At 44.6% G+C, this 19,478-nt stretch overlaps 2 long non-coding RNA genes across 3 annotated transcripts; one reads left to right on the top strand and one right to left on the bottom strand.

Annotated features, from left to right (window-relative positions):
• Positions 1 to 321: 321 nt before the first annotated feature.
• Positions 322 to 10,090, top strand: LOC107987101 (uncharacterized). 2 transcript variants are annotated; one of them, XR_001746846.1, is made up of 4 exons: positions 322 to 540; positions 7,975 to 8,101; positions 9,174 to 9,261; positions 9,596 to 10,090. It is a non-coding gene; the product is annotated as an uncharacterized LOC107987101 (long non-coding RNA). The 2 variants fall into 2 exon arrangements; XR_001746845.1 differs by having other exon boundaries at positions 9,050 to 9,261.
• On the bottom strand, positions 8,491 to 18,787 carry LOC124902219 (uncharacterized). Its single transcript, XR_007061675.1, has 2 exons — positions 18,597 to 18,787; positions 8,491 to 9,255 (listed from the first exon to the last, which is right to left on the bottom strand). It is a non-coding gene; the product is annotated as an uncharacterized LOC124902219 (long non-coding RNA).
• Between the last annotated feature and the right edge of the window lie 691 nt (positions 18,788 to 19,478).

Genomic DNA, 19,478 nt, shown 5'->3' with positions numbered 1-19,478 from the left:
TGACTACGTAGTCAGTGTCAGTAGAGGTTAGTTCATACCTTTACAATTATATGGCTTGATAAGCTGGTCTTGACTGTCACATAAACCTACCTACCTTTGTCTTATTATTACCTCTAGTAAACATGTGTCACTCTTTGGCCACCCAAGGGCCATTCTCCCTTCCTAACACTACTTACAGATTCCTTCAGGAAATCTATCCTTTCTCATTCTAGCCCTGTGGCTTGGGAGGGATTCACCCACCTCTCCTGCTCTACGGGTGGACTGTGGTTGGCTTAAACCAATCAGCTTTTCCCATGTACTTACTTACATCCTCCACTGATTCCCAGATAAATCAGTAACCCATTCAGATCCATGAAGACACAGGAGCCATTTGAAGCCTCTGGGAAAGACAAGCTTCCTCCTCTTCCAGAGATGCTACCAGGAAAGAGGCTTGCTCTTCCTCCAGAAGGTATAGGGAGATCTGAGGCCTGGAGTTACTGCAGCCATTTTCTGCCACACATGGAGAGCCAGGAGCTGCCTAGAAGAGGATGGGGATGGCAGGTAGGGACAATGTGGTATCTAAGGATGAAGCTGAGGCAGAGAGGAACTAGTGTCCGGGAGTTCTTGTTTGGATTGCTAGATCAAACCTTACCTGAGGCCAATATCTGTCTGTAGAGATTTCTATTGTGTAAGCCAAGAAACTTCCTTTGTTGTTTAAGCCAGGTCAAATTGGCTTCTCTGCTGCTTATGATAAAATAGCCTTAAATGGGCCGGGTGCGGTGGCTCACGCCTGTAATCTCAGCACATTGGGAGGCTGAGGTGGGCGGATCACGAGGTCAGGAGATCGAGACCTTCCTGGCTAACATGGTGAAACCCCGTCTCCACAAAAAATACAAAAAAAAAAAATTAGCCAAATGTGGTGGCGGACGCCTGTAGTCCCAACTACTTGGGAGTCTGAGGCAGGAGAATGGCGTGAACCTGGGAGGCGGAGCTTGCAGTGAGCCGAGATCGCGCCACTGCACTCCAGCCTGGGTGACAGAGCAAGACTCTGCCTCACCAAAAAAAAAAAAAAAAAAAAAATCCCTAAATGATATAAGTCCCTTGTTAAGAACATTCTATGGCTCCCCACTGTCTATAAAAAAAAGTTAATGGACATAAATATCTCCTTGATGGTGGTGATTGCTTCATAGGGGTATACTTATGCCCAAACTTATCGAGATGTATACATTAAGTAGACACAGCTTTTTATATGTCAATCATACCTCAATAAAGTGATTTTGTTTTTTTTTTAAAGACAAGTTTAAATTCCTTAGCTTACCACCTAAGACAGTGTACAAGTGAAACATGGGTAACCTTCTTCTTCTCATCAAACTAGTCTTTAGCTGTTCCCTCTGGCTTGTCCCTTTTCTCTGCTTATCCCTCCTTAAATTTTACATTTTCCACTATCTGAATTTCACATCATTCCTGATCTTTCCAAACAATACTTATCTCTCTTGACCTCTGTTTCCCTTCACATTCTTCTTCCAATTATAATTTAAACTCCTGTCTTTTCTTTGCCCTTTTCGAAGACTGTCATGTATTCTGAATTACTTTAATGTATATTTAACCTGTCTTCTTGAGAACAGGTCTTACAGGCTTCTGATCAATGTCTAGCTCATAGCATCTAGAACTATGCCTTATACATAGTAGGTATTAGAAACACATGCTGAGTAGTTGGCAATAGTAGTGTTTTTTGATCAATGTCAACACAAATGCTTATGTCTGGTTAAGGATCAGGACTCAGAGACTACCTAGACACATGCAAACAACAAACCAGAGGGGATCGACTAAATAGTTTTCACTTGAGAAGGCAATGGGCTACTCCACTATAAGAAAACCATCTGTATGAAAGAATCTTGGTGAGTGGACTGTAATCTAACTCTTCAAATCCCAGGGCTCATGGAAAAAAATGAAGTAAACTTATTTGACTAATATATCTCTATTGTGAAAGCACACTGGAGCTTGCTTAATCATAAGCAGGTATCAAGTGGCCATATAATATAGCCCTGTGATTCAAGAGCTGCCTGTGGCCAAACAGGCCTGCCAAGAAGCTGTGCAATTTGGTGGTCCCAATTCCCAGTTCTATGTAAAGCCTCTGGGTGACTGGCCAATCAAGAGGCCCATAGACCAAGTAGCCTGCAGAGCAGCTATGCAGAGCCTTCATGCCATCATTTCCCGCATCACTTCCCGCCTACCTTCCCTCTGGCTTCACAGAGTCTGTTTACAAAGAGAAGTGAATGCCCATATTCTGCTTGGCCTGCAGTGTAGGTGTTATTGTAACTCTTTAAAGCTTTATGACATTCAGTGGTGTACTTCCCTCGCATTCCTGAGTGACCCATGTCACGGTGGAAACAGGCTGTCCTTAGCATTTCACAGGCTGCACACTTAATGACATCATTCTGTGAGATGAAGGGAGAGCTCTAAGAAAAACCTAATTTGGCCTGCTGCAGCAACAGTTGCCTTAATTAGTCTCGATTTTTAATGCAATAAAAGGAATCAAGGTAAAGGTGGCTGGCCAGGAAAATTAATAAGCTTTCAGGTACACTTGGTTACTATGATTTTTCTGTTAGTAGAAAACGTTAAGCTGCTGTTTTGCTCTCTGTCTTGAGAACACAGGTTACAAGAAAAAAGAAAGGTACACACAGACATTGTTAAAAAGGCATTAGTCCGGGCAGGGTGGCTCATGCCTGTAATCCCAGCACTTTGGGAGCCCAAGGTGGGCGGATCACGAGGTCAGTAGTTCGACACCAGCCTGGCCAACATGGTGAAACCCTGTCTCTACTAAAAATACAAAAATTAGCTGGTCATGATGGCGGGTGCCTGTAATCCCAGCTACTCAGGAGGCTGAGGCAGGAGAATCATTTCAACCCCGGAGGGGGAGGTTGCAGTGAGCCAAGATCATGCCATTGCACTCCAGCCTGGGCAACAGGGTGAGACTCCATCTCAAAAAAAAAACAAAAAAAAAAAGCATTAAGATGAACTATCTGGTACTATCTGCCATCTTGGCATCTTATTCATTCCAGAGGGCATAAGCTCTTTTTCTCTGAATTGGTTCTTTCCCCTCCTTGCTAAGAGCCTTATAATATTATGAAACACAAAAATGTAATATGGAGCTGGACTGGGTTCACTCCTCACTATAGAGCTGCATTAACTACATTGGCATCCCTCTTAAGCAATCTTTAAGCAAAGAGGCATTTGGGACATCAGTAGAAGAAGGGACATTTTCCCTGTGCGTGGGCTCTATTCTTCTGAGTAAATAGATGCTTTAAAACCAGCCAAGTCTCCATTTGGTGCATCTGAGTAGGAGTTTGATATTTGCACTGAGAAATATTGAATTCCTAGAACACCAAGAGGTGATTCAAGAATTTTCTTTCAAGCCAGTTAGACTTTAAATAAAAATTATTTACATATTCATGAGCAGATATATTTCTCTAGTGTGTGCTAAGCATGAAAAAAAGAGCATCAACCATCAAGTTTACCTTTGCTATGGGCATGTCTTGTGATACACCAGAAACTTAGGTGATACAGTTTTGAAAAAAAAAAAGGATTCCATGTAAGATCCTCAGGAGGAATAACTACCCCGATCTTTCACACCTGTGGAGTTAGACCAACCATAGCCCTGATAAGGTCTCTGACGTGTTGTGATCTATGAATTGAAGTCCATGCTGGAAGTTATCAAATCACTTGCTAGTTAGGGGGCCTGGCCAGCCACCAGCATTCACATTCAAAGCAACTTTATCGCCCTCTTCCTCAGATAAGACAACTCTTACAACTTGTTAAAGACATTCCTCTAGAAAAATGGCAACGTCTCTCCTCCCCCAGCTCTCACCTCCAAAAAGGCAACGAATACTACCCATGGAAATGAAAGCACAGATGAAAAGATCTAACAGAGGAGTGGTGTTTATGCTCAGGCTCTCTCGAACATCAAGGTTGCTATGGTTGTGTGACCTTCAGCAAGCCACTCCACCAATCTAAGCCTTGCTCTGTCCTTTCTTCCCTCATTCCATCATTTCTTTGTCCCCTCACATACTTAGTATTTATAGACCACCCACTATGTGTCAGGCCCTGGCCTAGGAGCTCTGGATATAACAGTGAACTAAGCCAAGTCCCTGCCCTTGTGCAGCTTATGTTCTGGTGAGCAGAGGGAGAAGGAAGACAGACAACAGGCCATAGCATCTGGTCATTTGTAGTCAATTCACTGGGACAAATCAAGCAACTTTATTCTTATTTAATGGACAAGGCTTTATATTCCATTATAGTAAAATAAGGACTCTATGCCTATTGGTTAACCTTTATAAAATATTGCAAAGGGGCTGGGCACAGTGGCTCACGTCTGTAATCCCAGCACGTTGGGAAGCCGAGGCAAGCAGATCACTTGAGGTCACGAGTTCAAGACCAGTCTGGCCAACATGGCGAAACCCCATCTCTACCAAAAATACAAAAATTATGTGATGGGATGTGATGGTGAATGCCTATAATCCCAGCTACTTGGGAGGCTGAGGCAGGAGAATCACTTGAACCTGGAGGCGGAGGTTGCAGTGAGCTGAGATCTCACCACTGCACTCTTGCCTGGGCAACAGAGAGAGACTCCGTTTAAAAAACAAAAATAGGCCAGGCGCGGTGGCTCACACCTGTAATCCTAGCACTTTGCAAGGCCGAGGGGGTGGATCACGAGGTCAGGAGATGGAGACCATTCTGGCTAACATGATGAAACCCCATCTCTACTAAAAATACAAAAATTAGCCGGGTGTGGTGGCGGGCACCTGTAGTCCCAGCTACTTGGGAGGCTGAGGCAGGAGAATGGTGTGAACCTAGGAGGCAGAGGTTGCAGTGAGCAGAGATTGCACCACTGCACTCTAGCCTAGGTGACAGAGCAATACTCTGTCTCAAAAAAAAAATTAAAATTAAATAAAAATAAAAATAAATGACTGGGCGCAGTGGCTCACACCTATAATTCCAGCACTTTGGGAGGCCAAAGCGGGCAGATCATGAGATCAAGAGATCGAGACCATCCTGGCCAACATGGTGAAACCCTGTCTCTACTAAAAATACAAAAATTAACTGGGAATGGTGGCAGGCACCTGTAGCCCCAGCTACTCAGGAGGCTGAGGCAGAAGAATCGCTTGAACCCGGGAGGCGGGGGTTGCAGTGAGCTGAAATCGTGCCACTGCACTCCAGCCTGGTGGCAGACTGAGACTCCATCTAAAAAATAAAATAAAATAAAGTAAAATAAATTTTAAAAAAATAAAATATTACAAAGGGCATATTCTGGTACATTAGAGTATCATTCAGTTTAACCTGGAGACAAAGGAGAGAACAAGGCAGGCCCTCCTCCACTTACTGAATGTTACCCCTGCAGAAGTCATTTAGCCTTTTCACCCCTCAAGGTGGCAAGAGTACTTTCCTTACCACCTCCTAGGTTAATCTAAGCACCAAACTGAGCCATGGACAGGGAGCTATGGGATAATGGCTGATCAACCCTAAGCATTATGAAATACAGTGGCTGCATATGGTGATGCAGATTAAGGTGAGGTGATGTAGTGACGATAACTAATCAAGGGAAAGCACATACGGTCATTTCTCCCCTGAGTTTCTTCCCAATTTCTGAGGGGATCCAGAGTCAACTTAATACGGCACCATTGACAAAGAAATTGTGTTAGGCACTTGCCTAAGCATACACCTGAACCTGTAGATTCTTGACTGGCACTATTCCCTCTGCACTCATTCATTTCCTTGTTGTGCACCTCTGGCCATGGGCATTGCCAGACCAAATCCATCAATTAGAAGAAACTTCACCTCTGCAGGAATTCTCAGTCAATTTCGGCTCTGAATGAACAGTGCCTTTGCTTTGTGTTCTTTGGCACCCACATTAATATTTAAAGACATATAAATGGTTGTCGTTAGTTGAAAATGAACAGATGATTGGTGAAATGAAACTGTGGATAGAATATATCTTTCTTGATTCTCAATCTGTTTTGGATTGAAGACAAGAAAAGACCATATTAGCAAAGAAAAATTGGCCTAAATGTGAGAACAGTTGGCTTTAAATACACACACACACACACACACACACACACACACACACTCACACATATATAATTAAGTATTCACAGATTGGCATGAGGCCAGGAAAGCACTCAGTGGAGTTTTCCATTCCACTCCCCACATCTTGTTTGCAGAGTGTGTGCTTTTTCTCTTAAAGCACCATGCTTCCAAGTTGAGAAGCTTATCTGCACTTTAGAGTAGACTTTCTTTCTACTTTCTAGGTAAATAAAACAGTTAAGTAAGAGGCAAGCAGATTTTTGACTTGAAGAACAGATAATCAGACTAATAAATACTAAGCTAACAGAAGCCTTTCCCCTCGAAATCCTTGTCCTTGTTAGGAATGACGGGCTGGTCCTAACACAATACAGCTAAAAGCCAATTGACATTATAATTCCCCCAGCGTGGGAGTGAGGCTGGTAAAGAGACCAGGACCTGAAATCATGCAAGGGGTGGAATGATTATTTGTAGCTTCTGCTGTAATTTTGAGATTTTAAAAATTCCCTTCCACCTAAAAAAGATACATGTCATGATGTAGCAATAAAAAGGGATGCACTGCTGGTCCAAGCAACAACACGGATGAACCTCAAGACCATGTTCACAAAGGAGGCCAGATATGAAAGAGGAGATGCTGGATGATTCCCCTTACATAAAGTTCAAGGACAGGCAAAACTTGTCTCTGGAGAGTTCGGAAGCGTGGTTGCCTCTGGGAGGGAAGTATTGACTGGAGAGGGGCCTGAAGGAACTTTCTGGGATGATGCAACATCGCATATCCTGATCTGGGTATGTGTTGAGGTATGATATATGTCATTGAGCTATACCTTATGATTTGTGCACTTCATGTAAGTTGTATCTCTTTTATTTATTTACTTACTTATTTATTTATTTATTTATTTATCTGAGATGGAGTTTCACTCTGTCACCCACGCTGGAGTGCAGTGGCTCGATCTAGACTCACTGCAACCTCCACCTCCCGTGTTCAAGCAATTCTCGTACCTCAGCCTCCTGAGTAGCTGGGACTACAGGTGCGCACCACCATGCTCCACTAATTTTTGTATTTTTAGTAGAGATGGAGTTTCACCATCTTGGCCAGGCTGGTCTCAAACTCCTGACCTCAAGTGATCCACCCTCCTTGGCCTCCCAAATTGCTAGGATTATGAGCGTGAGCCACCACGCCTGGCCTCATTATTTTTTTTTAAAAAGACATCACATTTAGGAGCCACTGGAGGACACATTACAATGATTGATATGTTTATAACATTTGCCAGTCGACAAAAGACTCAAATGTAATTATCTCTTGATTCTTACAAGCATCCTTGAGATTAAATGAGGAAAGTGAGGCTCACTGGAATTCAAGATACTGAGGCTGTCCCTCCCCTCTGCATTCCAGCAGCCCAGGAACACCAGCATGGCTCCCTAGCAGCCCTTCTCAAGGGGGAGCTGCTGGCATTTGGTCAGGACAGGTCTTCATTGCACGGGTCTATTCCATGAACTGCAGAGCATGTGCCATTGCTGGCAAATGCTTTTCCCCGAGGACCAACGGGTCTGCCAGAAACACCTTCACACATTTCAGATGCCCTCAGGAGGGTATCAGACCCTGGCTGAGAACTTTGTGTTTACTGCATTCCTGGATACAGGAGCTCAAACCCCAGTTAACGTTTAACTCACAGAGAAGCTGGAGCCCTGGTGAGAGGCATCTTTGTTTGGGCACTGATGCAGAATGGAATGTTGGCCCAGGTCCTCTGGATGAGCCACCTGTCCTGCTTTGGCTTGAGGCCCACACACAATTCCCTTCACTTTATCCATTGGTTCAGCATCCAGCGTCCATAGGTGTGGTTCTGGGGGTGGGGCTGAGCTCACTATGTGTTCCCTGGAGGTCCAGGGCCATGTTTCTTTCCTCTGCTCTTCCTCCAGGACCAAGGATCCGAACTCCCTTTGCCCTCAGAACAGAAGGTTAGCCACCAACTCTACCTCCGCCCTATGCCCTGGGGAGTGGAGCCTCCATTGTCGGTGGAATCTCCCCCAGAGCCTTCTGCTCTAGGTTGGTAACACAATAATGAACCGAGTAAGGACTTGAGCCCAGCTCTCTTCACCTCAGTTTTGCTCTCAATCTACTACATCACAGGGTGGGACATCACAGCCCATCGTCCAAATCTGGTCCACTGCCTGCTGGCTCTAGGATGTTTTTTAAATATTCAAATGGTTACATTTGTGTCTATAGAAAATACCTCAATTTTACTTCTTGGCCCACAAAGCCTAAAATATTTACTATCTGGTTCTTTACAGGGAAATTTTCCAGATGTCTGCACTGCCATTACGCTTGCTTTATCCCGGTTTATAACTGGCAGAACTCTGACAGGGCTTACGAACAAAAGTTTCCCTGTTTGGAGCAACTGGGACTTCTTTTATACTGCAAGAACAAGACAAGGGTCAAGGAAGACATTAACTTTATTAAGATATCAGCCAAGCCTATTAGGGAGCAAAGAGAGATAAATGAGGGCATGGAGACAATGAGTCACATATAAGGTCCCATCATTTAAGTTAAATAGTTGTATTACACTTTAGGAGGCTGAGGCAGGCGGATCATGAGGTCAGGAGATCGAGACCATCCTGGCTAACATGGTGAAACCCCATCTCTACTAAAAATACAAAAAATGAGCCAGGCGTGGTGGCGGGCGCCTGTAGTCCTAGCTACTTGGGAGGCTGAAGCAGGAGAATGGCGTGAACCCAGGAGGCGGAGCTTGTAGGGAGCCGAGATCGCGCCACTGCACTCCAGCCTGGGCGACAGAGCAAGACTCCATCAAAAAAAAAAAAAAAAGTAGTTGTATTAGATTATCTCCCCACCTGACACTCCTCAGCCCCGTGACAGCTTGGTGACCAGCTCCTACATTGAGCTAGTTGACATTAAGAAAATCCCTCAAAAATGGCAGGAGAACATTAATGTAAAAATTTAGCAATTTGCTGAACTGTTTATATTTTTGCCTTGGAGTTCTTAGGGCCACACATAATTCATTCATCCATCATCAGACATGAGGATACCGAAGTAGGGGAAAGAAGAATTCCTTCTCTAGAAGAACTTACTGACAAGGAAATTGATGTGTTCCATGCTGCAGAGGCAGGAGCAGGGTGGAGGTGCGTGACCTCACTGGAATGAAGAAGGCGAAGCCCAGTCGAGGTCTCCAAGGATGAGCCCAGCTGCAGGTAAACAAGGATAGGGTGGAAGGACATTCTAGGCAGAGGAGAGCATGAACATCTATTGTGTATTTTTTGTTACTTTGCATATAATAAGTAAATTAAATAAAGGCATGGGAGCAAGATAGAACCTGGAGTGTTAGAAAAACAAAAGAGAATCTGGCATGTCAGGCACCAAAGTCAAATGTGAGGGCATGAGATGACCCTAGAAACAGGGCAGGAGCCAGAGCCTGAAGAATCTTGCAGGCAAGTGTCTTAGGTTGGGTTCCCCTAGCAGCAGACCCTGGCACAGGTGATGTACATGAAGGACGGCTGCAGTTCTTTGCTCTTTTTCCCATTTCAGGGGGCTGTCTTATTCATGACCCTCTGAATCTGGGCTGGACTCAGTGACCTGCTCAGCCAACAGAATTTGTAGAAGTAACATTCTGGGACTTCTGAGACTAACTTACAAGAAACCTTGCTGCTTCTACCTGGGTCTCTTGGAACACCCTCACTCTGGTAGCTTTGAGCCACCATGGAAGAACTCTGATGACTCTAAATTGGCCAAGTTAGAGAGATTACATGCAGGCTCTCTGGGACGTGGTCCCCGTCAGGTCCAGCCTTCTAGTTGTCTCTGCGACTCTGCCAAAGTGCCAGACAATGAACGGAGCTGTTGTGGATTCCCTCGACTTGCCCAGCTGTCAGTTGGACATCTCAGTCAACACCACATGGAACAGAAGAGTTGCGCAGCTGAGCCCTGTCCAAGTTTCTGACCCACAGAATGTGAGATAAAGAAAACGGTGGTGGCCAGGCGTGGTGGCTCATGCCTGTAATTCCAGCTCTCAGGGAGGCAGAGGCAGGAGGATAGCTTGAGCCCAGGAGTTCGAGATCTGCCTGGGCAATATAGCGAGACCTCGTTCTCCACAAAAAGGAAAAAAAAAAGACCAAAAAAAAAAAAAAAAAGAAAACGGTGGTTCTGGCACTAATTTTTGAGAATATTGTTATGCATAGCAATAGATAACTGTTAGTTTTCTAGGACCCCTGTAACACAGTACCATAAACTAGGAGGCTTAAAACAACAGAAATGTATTCCTTCCCAGTTCTGGAGGACAGAAGCCTGAAACAAAGGTGTTGGCAGGGCCACACCCCCTCTGAAGGCTCAGGGGGAACCTGTGCCATGCCCTTCTCTTAGCTTCCCATGTTACTGCGAATCTTTGGCATCCCTTGGTTGGAGACATGGCACTCCAGTCTCTATTCTTCTGCCACCTGACCTCCCCTCTCCCTGTTCACATGGCGTTCTCTTCCTTATGTGTGCTCGCTCTACTCTTATAAGAATACTAATCATAGTGGATCAGGGCCCACCCCTCATCTTAGTTATATCCATGAAATATATCTGATTAGATCCATGAAAACCCTATTTCCAAATCAGGTCATGTTTACAGGTACCAGGGGTTAGAACTTCAACTTTTTAGAGGACATAATTCAACCCACAACAATAGTCAAAACACAAAGATTTGAGTACAAGTTGTTTATTTGAGGGATGATTCTAGGAAGCTCCAGTGGGGGCTGGTGGGAAGGCGGGAGGGGGAAGGTAAGAAGGTCAGAATAATGGGCATCGTGGCCCTGTGGGCACTGGGAGTCAATGCCACCAGGAAAAATCTGGCAGACAGTGTAGAAAACACCTCAAAGTGATTCTCTCTGCACTGCCCCCTCCCTCAGGGGTGGGCAAGGTGGACAATTGGTCCTTCCATTCCCATCTCTCACTGGCTGAGGGCTGCTGCCTGGGAGCATTAACTTCCTCGCACTTAAGGCTCACTGCCCAAAACCAAGAGCAATCCCTCAAGTGAAGAGCAGCAGGTGCTTGCAGCAGGGCCCTGCGGGCATCATCTGGAACAGCAGGTGCTGAGGGGCATGGGTGGGGGGCTGACAATCTTTGCTATTGCCATGCTAGCGAGCTTGAATTGTTTTCTGAAGGTTATGGGGGCTGGAAGGAATTGAAATACTTAATGCAGCAGAGTGGTGAGATCAGGTTTGAATTCTAAGTCACCCAGGTGGGAGTCGAAGTGGGGCAGACTCTCCAGTTAGGAAGCTACACCTGTAGACCAGGGGAGAAATTGCATGCACAACCCAGTGCCATGGCCGGTCAAATGGAGGGGAAGGGCTAGGCTCAAGGTACATTTAGGAGGCAGAATCAACAGGAAATACACAAGGAAGGTGGGGACAAAGTTGAGGAAATTCTGGGACCCTGAAGAAATGCCTGACATTGAGCTGAGCAAAAGGTGAAATCTTATCCTGTCCATTACAGAAAGGAAAAGCTACTGATGTGACAGCAACCTGCCTCAGGACCCTGGCACAGGCTGCTTCCTCAGCCTGTGACATTTTCCATCCTTGCCCCTCTTCCCCAGTCACATGACTCACTCCCAGACACATTGCAGGTCTTTGCTAAAATGGCCCCTCCTCAATGGGGTCTTCTTCCCTGACTACCTAATTTAAAATTGCAAGCCACCTGTCCCCCACCGTCTTGCCATTTCTTTCTGTCACCCTATCCTGCTTTATCTTTCCCCACCTGTCACAGTCTGATATACATTTACTTTAATTATATATTGGTTTATTGTCTGTTGTGTTCCTTGTCACCATCCAAATATGAGCTCCATAGTGGCAGGGATTTTTGGCTGTGGTCACAACCCAGCATCTAGAATAGGGCCTGGCACATTGAAAGAAACACACACATACTTGGTTTGTTCTTGTTTTTGGAGATAGATCTCATTCTGTCACCTGGACTGGAGTGCAGTGGCACAACCACAGCTCACTGCAACTTCAAACTCCTGGGTTCAGGCAATCTTCCTGCCTCGGCCTCCCGAGTAGCTAGAACAACAGGCACACGCTACCATGCCTGGCTACTTTTTTTTTTATTTTTGTAGAGATGGGGTCTGGCTATGTTGCCAGGCTGGTCTCAAACTCCTGGCCTCAAGCGATCTCCCACTTTGGCCTCCCAAAGTACTGAGATTACAGGAATGAACAACTGTGACCGGCCAATACCTCTTTGTTGAATGAATGAATGAATGAACAATTCAAAAACCTATTGTTAAATACAAATGGGCTGGGCGCAGTGGCTCATGCCTGTAATCCCAACACTTTGAGAGGCCAAGGCGGTGGATTATTTGAGCTCAGGAGTGCAAGACCATCCTGGCCAACATGGCGAGACACCATTTCTACTAAACATACAAAAAATTAGTCGGGTGTAGTGGCGTGCACCTGTAGTCCCAGTTATTTGGGAGGCTGAGGCAGGAGAATTGCTTGAACCTTGGAGGCAAAGGTTGCAGTGGGCTGAGATTGTGCCACTCCATTCCAGCCTGGGCGACAGAGCGAGACTTCATCTAAAAAAACAAATAAACAAAACACACACACACAGAAATGGACTATAGCTGCTTCTGTCTTCTAAAGGGGAGAGGTAATGGTGGCATAATTTATATTCTAGGAGAAATAAAATGCCTCTACCATGCTCTTTCCTTCACAAACACTGGAGGAGAAAGAAGAAAAGGAGGTGTCTGGGCAGATGCCAACTTGTGTGAGCAGAATGCACGTGGCTCTTCTAAGCAAGCAAGGGAGAGGCTGGGTGTCAGGCAGGGAGTGCAGCAGGTGAAAAGGGAGAGTGTAAGCCTGTATGTATTTTGGGTTCTTGAGAAGAAAAGAATTTAAAGAGTGCAGCAAGGGGCCCGGTGGTAGAATGGCTAAAGAATTTTTCAAAGCAGGTGAGTCCCAGACTCAGTTTTAAATTATTTTGGAGTTTCTGCCATATAAACCCACTGAGTATCCTCAAAGACCTTAGTAAAGTCTGCTACAAGCATAGGCCTCATGTAACTTTTTTGGGAGGGAAGTTGAGGATAGGGTGCAAATCCCACATCTGGTTTGACACATGGAACGTGAACAGCAAGTAGAGAACCTGAGATGAAACAGAAATGGAATTCAGTGGAAGCAGAAGGGACAACCCTGATGATACAAGGCTGTGGTAATTATAGAAAATTGGGGAAATACTTTTTTTTTTTTTTTTTTTGAGACGGAGTCTCGCTCTGTCGCCCAGAGACTGGAGTGCAGTGGCAGGATCTCGGCTCACTGCAAGCTCCGCCTCCTGGGTTCATGCCATTCTCCTGCCTCAGCCTCCCGAGTAGCTGGGACTACAGGCACTCGCCACCATGCCCGACTATTTTTTTGTATTTTTAGTAGAGACGGGGTTTCACCGTGTTATCCAGGATGGTCTCGATCTCCTGACCTCGTGATCCGCCCGCCTGCGCCTCCCAAAGTGCTGGGATTACAGGCGTGAGCCACCGCGCCCGGCCAACAGTGTGTTGTTTTTATCTTCACCCTGTACAACAGAGAGATTAGGGAGTTCACCCAAGATCATGTAAATGTCAGAGCCAGAGCTGAACTTTGGCTCTGTAGACTAGAAGTCAAATACATTACTACCTTGCTCCTAGCTTTTGCAGATTCAATATTTGGGCTTTCAGCTATTTGAGAAGTCCAAGCCACGCAGTGATTTGATACTTTCGCCTCTGCACAGAAGAGAATCCCCTGTTCTGGAAGCCTGGTTTGCAGAAGGGAGTCCCTGGGCTAGTGAGTGGGCTGAGCCACTTGCTCAGCAGCCACAGTGCAACTCAGTTTTGTTGATCTCTGCTGTGGTACATGATAAAAAAAATTATAGCCTGGGAAGGTCTTTGGACCTATCTATGCAAAGGGCAAAGGGCAAAAACTTTTCTAATATGTTTCCAGGAGCGGGAGCTTACTGGTGCTTTTAGAGAATAAAATTATTCCAATTTCTCATGTCATATTTGGGTCCTCCATGGTTAAAAGCAGAATGGATCATAAGTCTGGGTTTTGAAAGTTTGAAAAGGTCTATTTCCACTATCTGTCTTCAGTTTAAGCCGTCGCCATGACATCTTACCCAAAGTGGCCTGACTCTTTTCCCAAGAGATTGCTCTTCTGGGAAAAAATGCAGTGATACTCAAGTCAGAACTGGAACACGCCACAAAGGACTCGTAACTGCTTCTTTGGGTTGAAGAGGGGAGGTATTTGTAGTTCTGGTTATAATTGGAGCAAAAATATTTTACATGGACCCTAATTAAAATGAGGGGGAAATGCACTTAAAGTTTTCTTTAACACGTGTGCTTATGAATCAAGTTTATGGGATGGGAAATCTATCCACTTGTTAATCCAAAAGATCATCCACAAATAGAACCCAGGGTGGCTGTTGTATGAAATTGAATTACGTGCCCAGATCTATTACAACCACTTTCTCCTCCTTTCTGTGAGTGGCTTCAGTATGCCCTGAAGTATGCACCAAAGGTAATTCTGTGGAAAATTAGCATCAAATCTTCTATTTCTGGTGAGACTAAGTGGGATTTGGGGTGGTTTATTTGCTATTTTTTTTGTACTTTTATTTATTACCTGATTTTTAAAATTATGACTGTGTATTAAATTCCAAAAACAAGTGTTTGCATTTAGAATTAAATAACCCATAACAAGGGAAAACTTGTCAATAATGATACTAGAACACAAAAGAAGAGAAAATGCCAAAGATTCAACTTGGTTGTATGTAAAAGCCTTTGCCATCTCAGTCAACTGAGAAATGACCAAACTTTAAGACTGTTCTTACCCTAGGATATCGTTAGGAGTGTCACGTATACACATCAGATTCATTTTGAGTCATGTTTTATTCAGTTCCTCACTTATACTTACTTTGTGCTGTATCTACTCTTGCCTGAAGAAGCAATATTGCATGCTTAGGATTTTTAAAAAAAATTTTCAGGAGATGCTGAGTGTTGCTACAAGGAGGAACTGCCTTTGGTTCTTCACTCTATGAAGAGCTTTATTATTTTATAATTGCATAATGAGTTCTTGGAACATTGTCTTTAAAAGGACAGATGTTGTATTGTAATAAAATAATGTTATTAAAATTTGATAACCTGGAAACAATCATTTGTGGTTCTTTCAGTACTTAGGGCTCCTTCAAGATGGTACTTGCAGTTTTCCTGAAGTGCATTATTTATGACTATAAAGGGAGAATAAAGGATTATGAGTTATGAAAAGAAATGTTATCGAGTACAGTACAAACAGTGCAATTGCCTATGGCTTTTCCTGAGCTTCACCTTCTTATCTAGCCCCATAGTTTAGTGGAAAGAGAATGGATTTTGGAGTCTATCAGATTTGGGTTCAAAATCTTGCTCTACGCCATTTTCCAGCACAATGACTACTGCCAGGATATTTCTCCATTCTGAGGCTCAGGCTCCTTATCTGTAACATGGGAATGATCCATCTTAGAACCAAATAATATTGTCGTTGCTCAACCATTTTTGACTTATAAATATGGCAATTTTATGTGGCTCAGTCTAGTATGCACTGCACAGCTTGGTAGCGAATTGAATGTCACTAAAGATGAAACACTTGGCTGGCTGGCTGCAACACTGTCAGTGTTCAAGGGATGGGAATTCTACTAATGCTGCCTTTTATCTAGTTTGACTTTGAGAGCATTTAAGGATCTACCTCTGTTTCTTTCCATTTATACCTTCTCTGAGCTTCTGGTCCCTCTGATCCTTTATTTTTATTTTATTATTATTTTTACTTTTTTTTCACTTTAATAGTGACGGGGGATCTCTCTCTATTGCTCAGGCTGGTCTTGAACTCCTGGCCTCAAGCAGTCCTCCCACCTTGGTCTCCCAAAGTGCTGGGATGATGCGCATGAGCGACCACACCCAGCCAGCCTTTATTTTTAAATCTTCCTGGTCTATTAAGGCTCTCAAGGCAGATCCTTAATCATCATCTTGAACCGCTCTTTCTAAACCTATGATCAGTTTTATCCCAAAACCAAAATGACAAGTTATAGGATCAGAAAAGACAATGTTAGGCCGGGCACGGTGGCTCACTCCTGTAATCCTAGCACTTTGGGAGGCCCAGATGGGTGGATCACTTGAGGTCAGGAGTTCGAGACCAGCCTGGCCAACATGGTGAAACTCCATCTCTACTAAAAACACAAAAATTAGCCAAGCGTGATGGTGCATGCCTGTAGTCACAGCCACTTGGGAGGCTGAGGCAGGAGAAGCATTTGAACCCAGGAGGTGGAGGTTGCAGTGAGCCAATATAGCGCCACTGCATTCCCAGCTGGGCAACAGAGCAAGACTCTGTCTCAAAAAAAAAAAAAAAAAAAGGCAAAAAAGAAAAAACAATGTTAGGCTGGCACAGGTCACTACAGTGTCAACCTCAGAATCTGTAGCATGTAGAAGATATAGGCGCGTTGGCAAAATCTGAATACAGTAAATCCTACCATATGCTCTGAGTGAGAACCAGGACCTGAAGACAATAAATCCTACCATATGCTCTGAGTGAGAACCAGGACTTGTGTAAAACGTAGGTTACGTTATTTTTAGGTCAACAGAGTGATAGGGATGAGCCTCTGGGCGAGCCAGGAGCTGGCCGCTGGTCCTCACACTTCCCCTTTGCATCATGTCCACATGGGGCTAGTGGGAGGGCATCACTGCGAGCTTCTCAGTCTCAGGGTGTCCGGGAGAGAAGCTAAGCAGGAGCACCAGCCTAGGAGGGGACACCCACCCTTCACTCTTCATGGGCTCCTCCACAGCCACATAGTCAGGAGGGGCCTTCTGCTTCTTCATTCAGAGAGTACCGCGACTTACAGAATCTTTTAGCCCCTTCCAGCGCTAACTTCTTTGGTTCTATAATTCTGTGTTCATTGATGTTGATTAACTCTTGATTGAATTACGTGGATTTTGATTGGCTTAAGATGTGAGTAAGGATTTGGGGCCTCCTCTCCAAATACCTGGGTTTTATAGTTTATAATGGTGACTGTGGGTTTTGCTGGAACGATGTGAAACTTTCCTCACAGTTGTTCTGGAAGGTGTTAAGCAGGCTCACATAAATGCGTTTCACAAACTCATTTAAGTGTTTGGGAAGAGAAGGGCACTGCCAGCGTTTATCTATTCATTCAACACAATTGCTGCATGCCTGTCCTTTGCCAGCCACTGTTCTTGGGACATATTAAATTTTTACATGTGGGGGGTAGAGAGAAAGATGGACAGTAAGCAATAAATAAACCTATAGGGAAAATGGACCCAGGTAAAGGGCTGTAAGCCCAGCAGTGACCAAACACAACCTCTTCTTGTGACATTCTCAAGGGAGGTCCTGTGGTCTGTAAGCTTTTCTTTTGGTCTTTGAGGGAACCGTCGGGTCACATTGATCCGACTGTCAATTCAGTAGCCACCAGGTTCTCATGGCAGTGAGTGGGGTATGTAGACACCATAAGGTGGAAAACACGCACTTGTGCAAGTTCCACACCCACTGGAAATGGTGTGATCTCTAAGATGGTTACCTTTGGGTACATCTAGACACTGAACACACTCACACATACACAAACAGCATTTCCTAATTTTGTGAAATGCTATCCTTAATTTTGCATTAAAAAGTCACCTAGGGGCCGGACGTGGTGGCTCATGCCTGTAATCCCAGCACTTTGGGAGGCCAAGGCCAGCGGATCACAAGGACAGGAGCTCAAGTCGCCCAGCCTGGCCAACATGGTGAAACCCCATCTCTACTAAAAATACAAAAATTATCCAGGCATGGTGGCGGGCGCCTGTAATCCCAGCTACTCCGGAGGCTGAGGCATGAGAATTGCTTGAACCCAGGAGGCGGAGGTTGCAGTGAGCTGAGAGAGCACCACTGCACTCCAGCCTGGGTGACACAGCAAGACTCCATCTTGGGGGGAGGAAAAAAAAAGTCACCTAGGAAGTTCTGAGACTTATAGTAAGGGCTTGAAAGCAACACATTCTCTTAGATTTGTTGTAGCCCAGTGGTTCTCAAAGTGTCCTCCATGGACCAGCAGCATCAGCATCACCTGGAAATTTGTTAGGGCTGCAAATTCTCTGGCCCCTCTTGAGACCTACTGAATCAGAAATGATGGGGTAGAGCCCAGCAATCCATGGTTTAATAAGCCATCTAGGTGATTCTGATCATGTTTAAGAATCCCTGCTAGATCATACAAAGGATATTTAATGATAGAAATACTATCTTACAGTTTTAATAGTCATTTTCTCATTTGAGCTGTGTTAAACAGTGCAGAATCAGCAACAGATATTATGCCCATGGAAAAAAAAGAAAGAAAAAAACAGAGGATTGAGTATCCCTGGATCCCACAGCTATTAAGCATTAAATAAATGATCCTGGTATTCTGTTTCATTGCTCCTTCTGAACTTTCTCCATTTAATTCTTTCTCAGCCCTTCCTTCTTTTATCCACAATACTGAGATGCCTGCCTTAAACCCTTCAGATAAGTAGGAGATAGAATATAGACATTAGAGTGGATACCTTGAAATATTGGTGACAAAAATCTCCAGTGTCTGAACTGTAACTTTCTTCAAATGAAGAGCTTAAAGTTGTAGTTCAATGTTTTTCTCTTTCACAAGACGAAAGGACCACGCAGAGCTGGAATACTCACTCCCAGCAGCCTCATCAGGGCAGCGGGTGGCCTGGCTACCAAGGCCGCAGGCCCGGGGCCTTCTGGTTACACCAGGATCCACGGGCTGGGGCTCAGTGGTACTGAGTGGATAGTGTGGTTTTGTGATCCACACTGCCATCTTCTGGGGAGTCTCATCAGAGACTGTGGTTCCGTTTTTAGTGTCAAAGCTTTGAGTCAAAGATTGGGGTAGGGGCACTTCTCATTTCAACTGGACCTATTCTAACCAGCTGATGATGGTGTTGATGATGGTGATGGTGATGGTGATGAGAAGGAGGAGGAGGATGGTGGCGGTGGTGATGAAAAACAGGATTCTGGAGTTTACAGTGGTTCTCACTCTTTTGAAAGCACATCCCATAAAGAGTACAGCTGATCAAACAACAAAAGAAGAAAATACATAAGAGAACTGCTACTATTTTTAAAAGGTAGAAGTGGACAGAATGGCCTTCAGAGGCAAGTGAAGAAAACTGGAAAATATACACTCTACAGCGACTGGTTCTGGAACGTGGGACCATGAGCACTTAGTGAATTCTCTGTTTTCCAAAGTTTCTACACTAAGCACCTTGCAGGGTGCATTGTTTCAGATGGCAGGCTGCATGAGCTTTAACAAAGTACGAAACAACTGAGACAATAACTCCAGATTTCCAGCCTGGAAAACTCTGAAACAATACATTTTGTTTACTTTTAAGCCAGCCAGATTGTAAGAGAAATGTAGTATTTCACAGTGGGGGAAG

The sequence above is a fragment of the Homo sapiens genome, chromosome 9, assembly GCF_000001405.40.
Source record: "Homo sapiens chromosome 9, GRCh38.p14 Primary Assembly".
Lineage (NCBI taxonomy): Eukaryota > Metazoa > Chordata > Mammalia > Primates > Hominidae > Homo > Homo sapiens.
The sequence above is the reverse complement of the archived record's forward strand: the minus strand, read 5'-3'. Positions and strand labels throughout refer to the sequence as shown.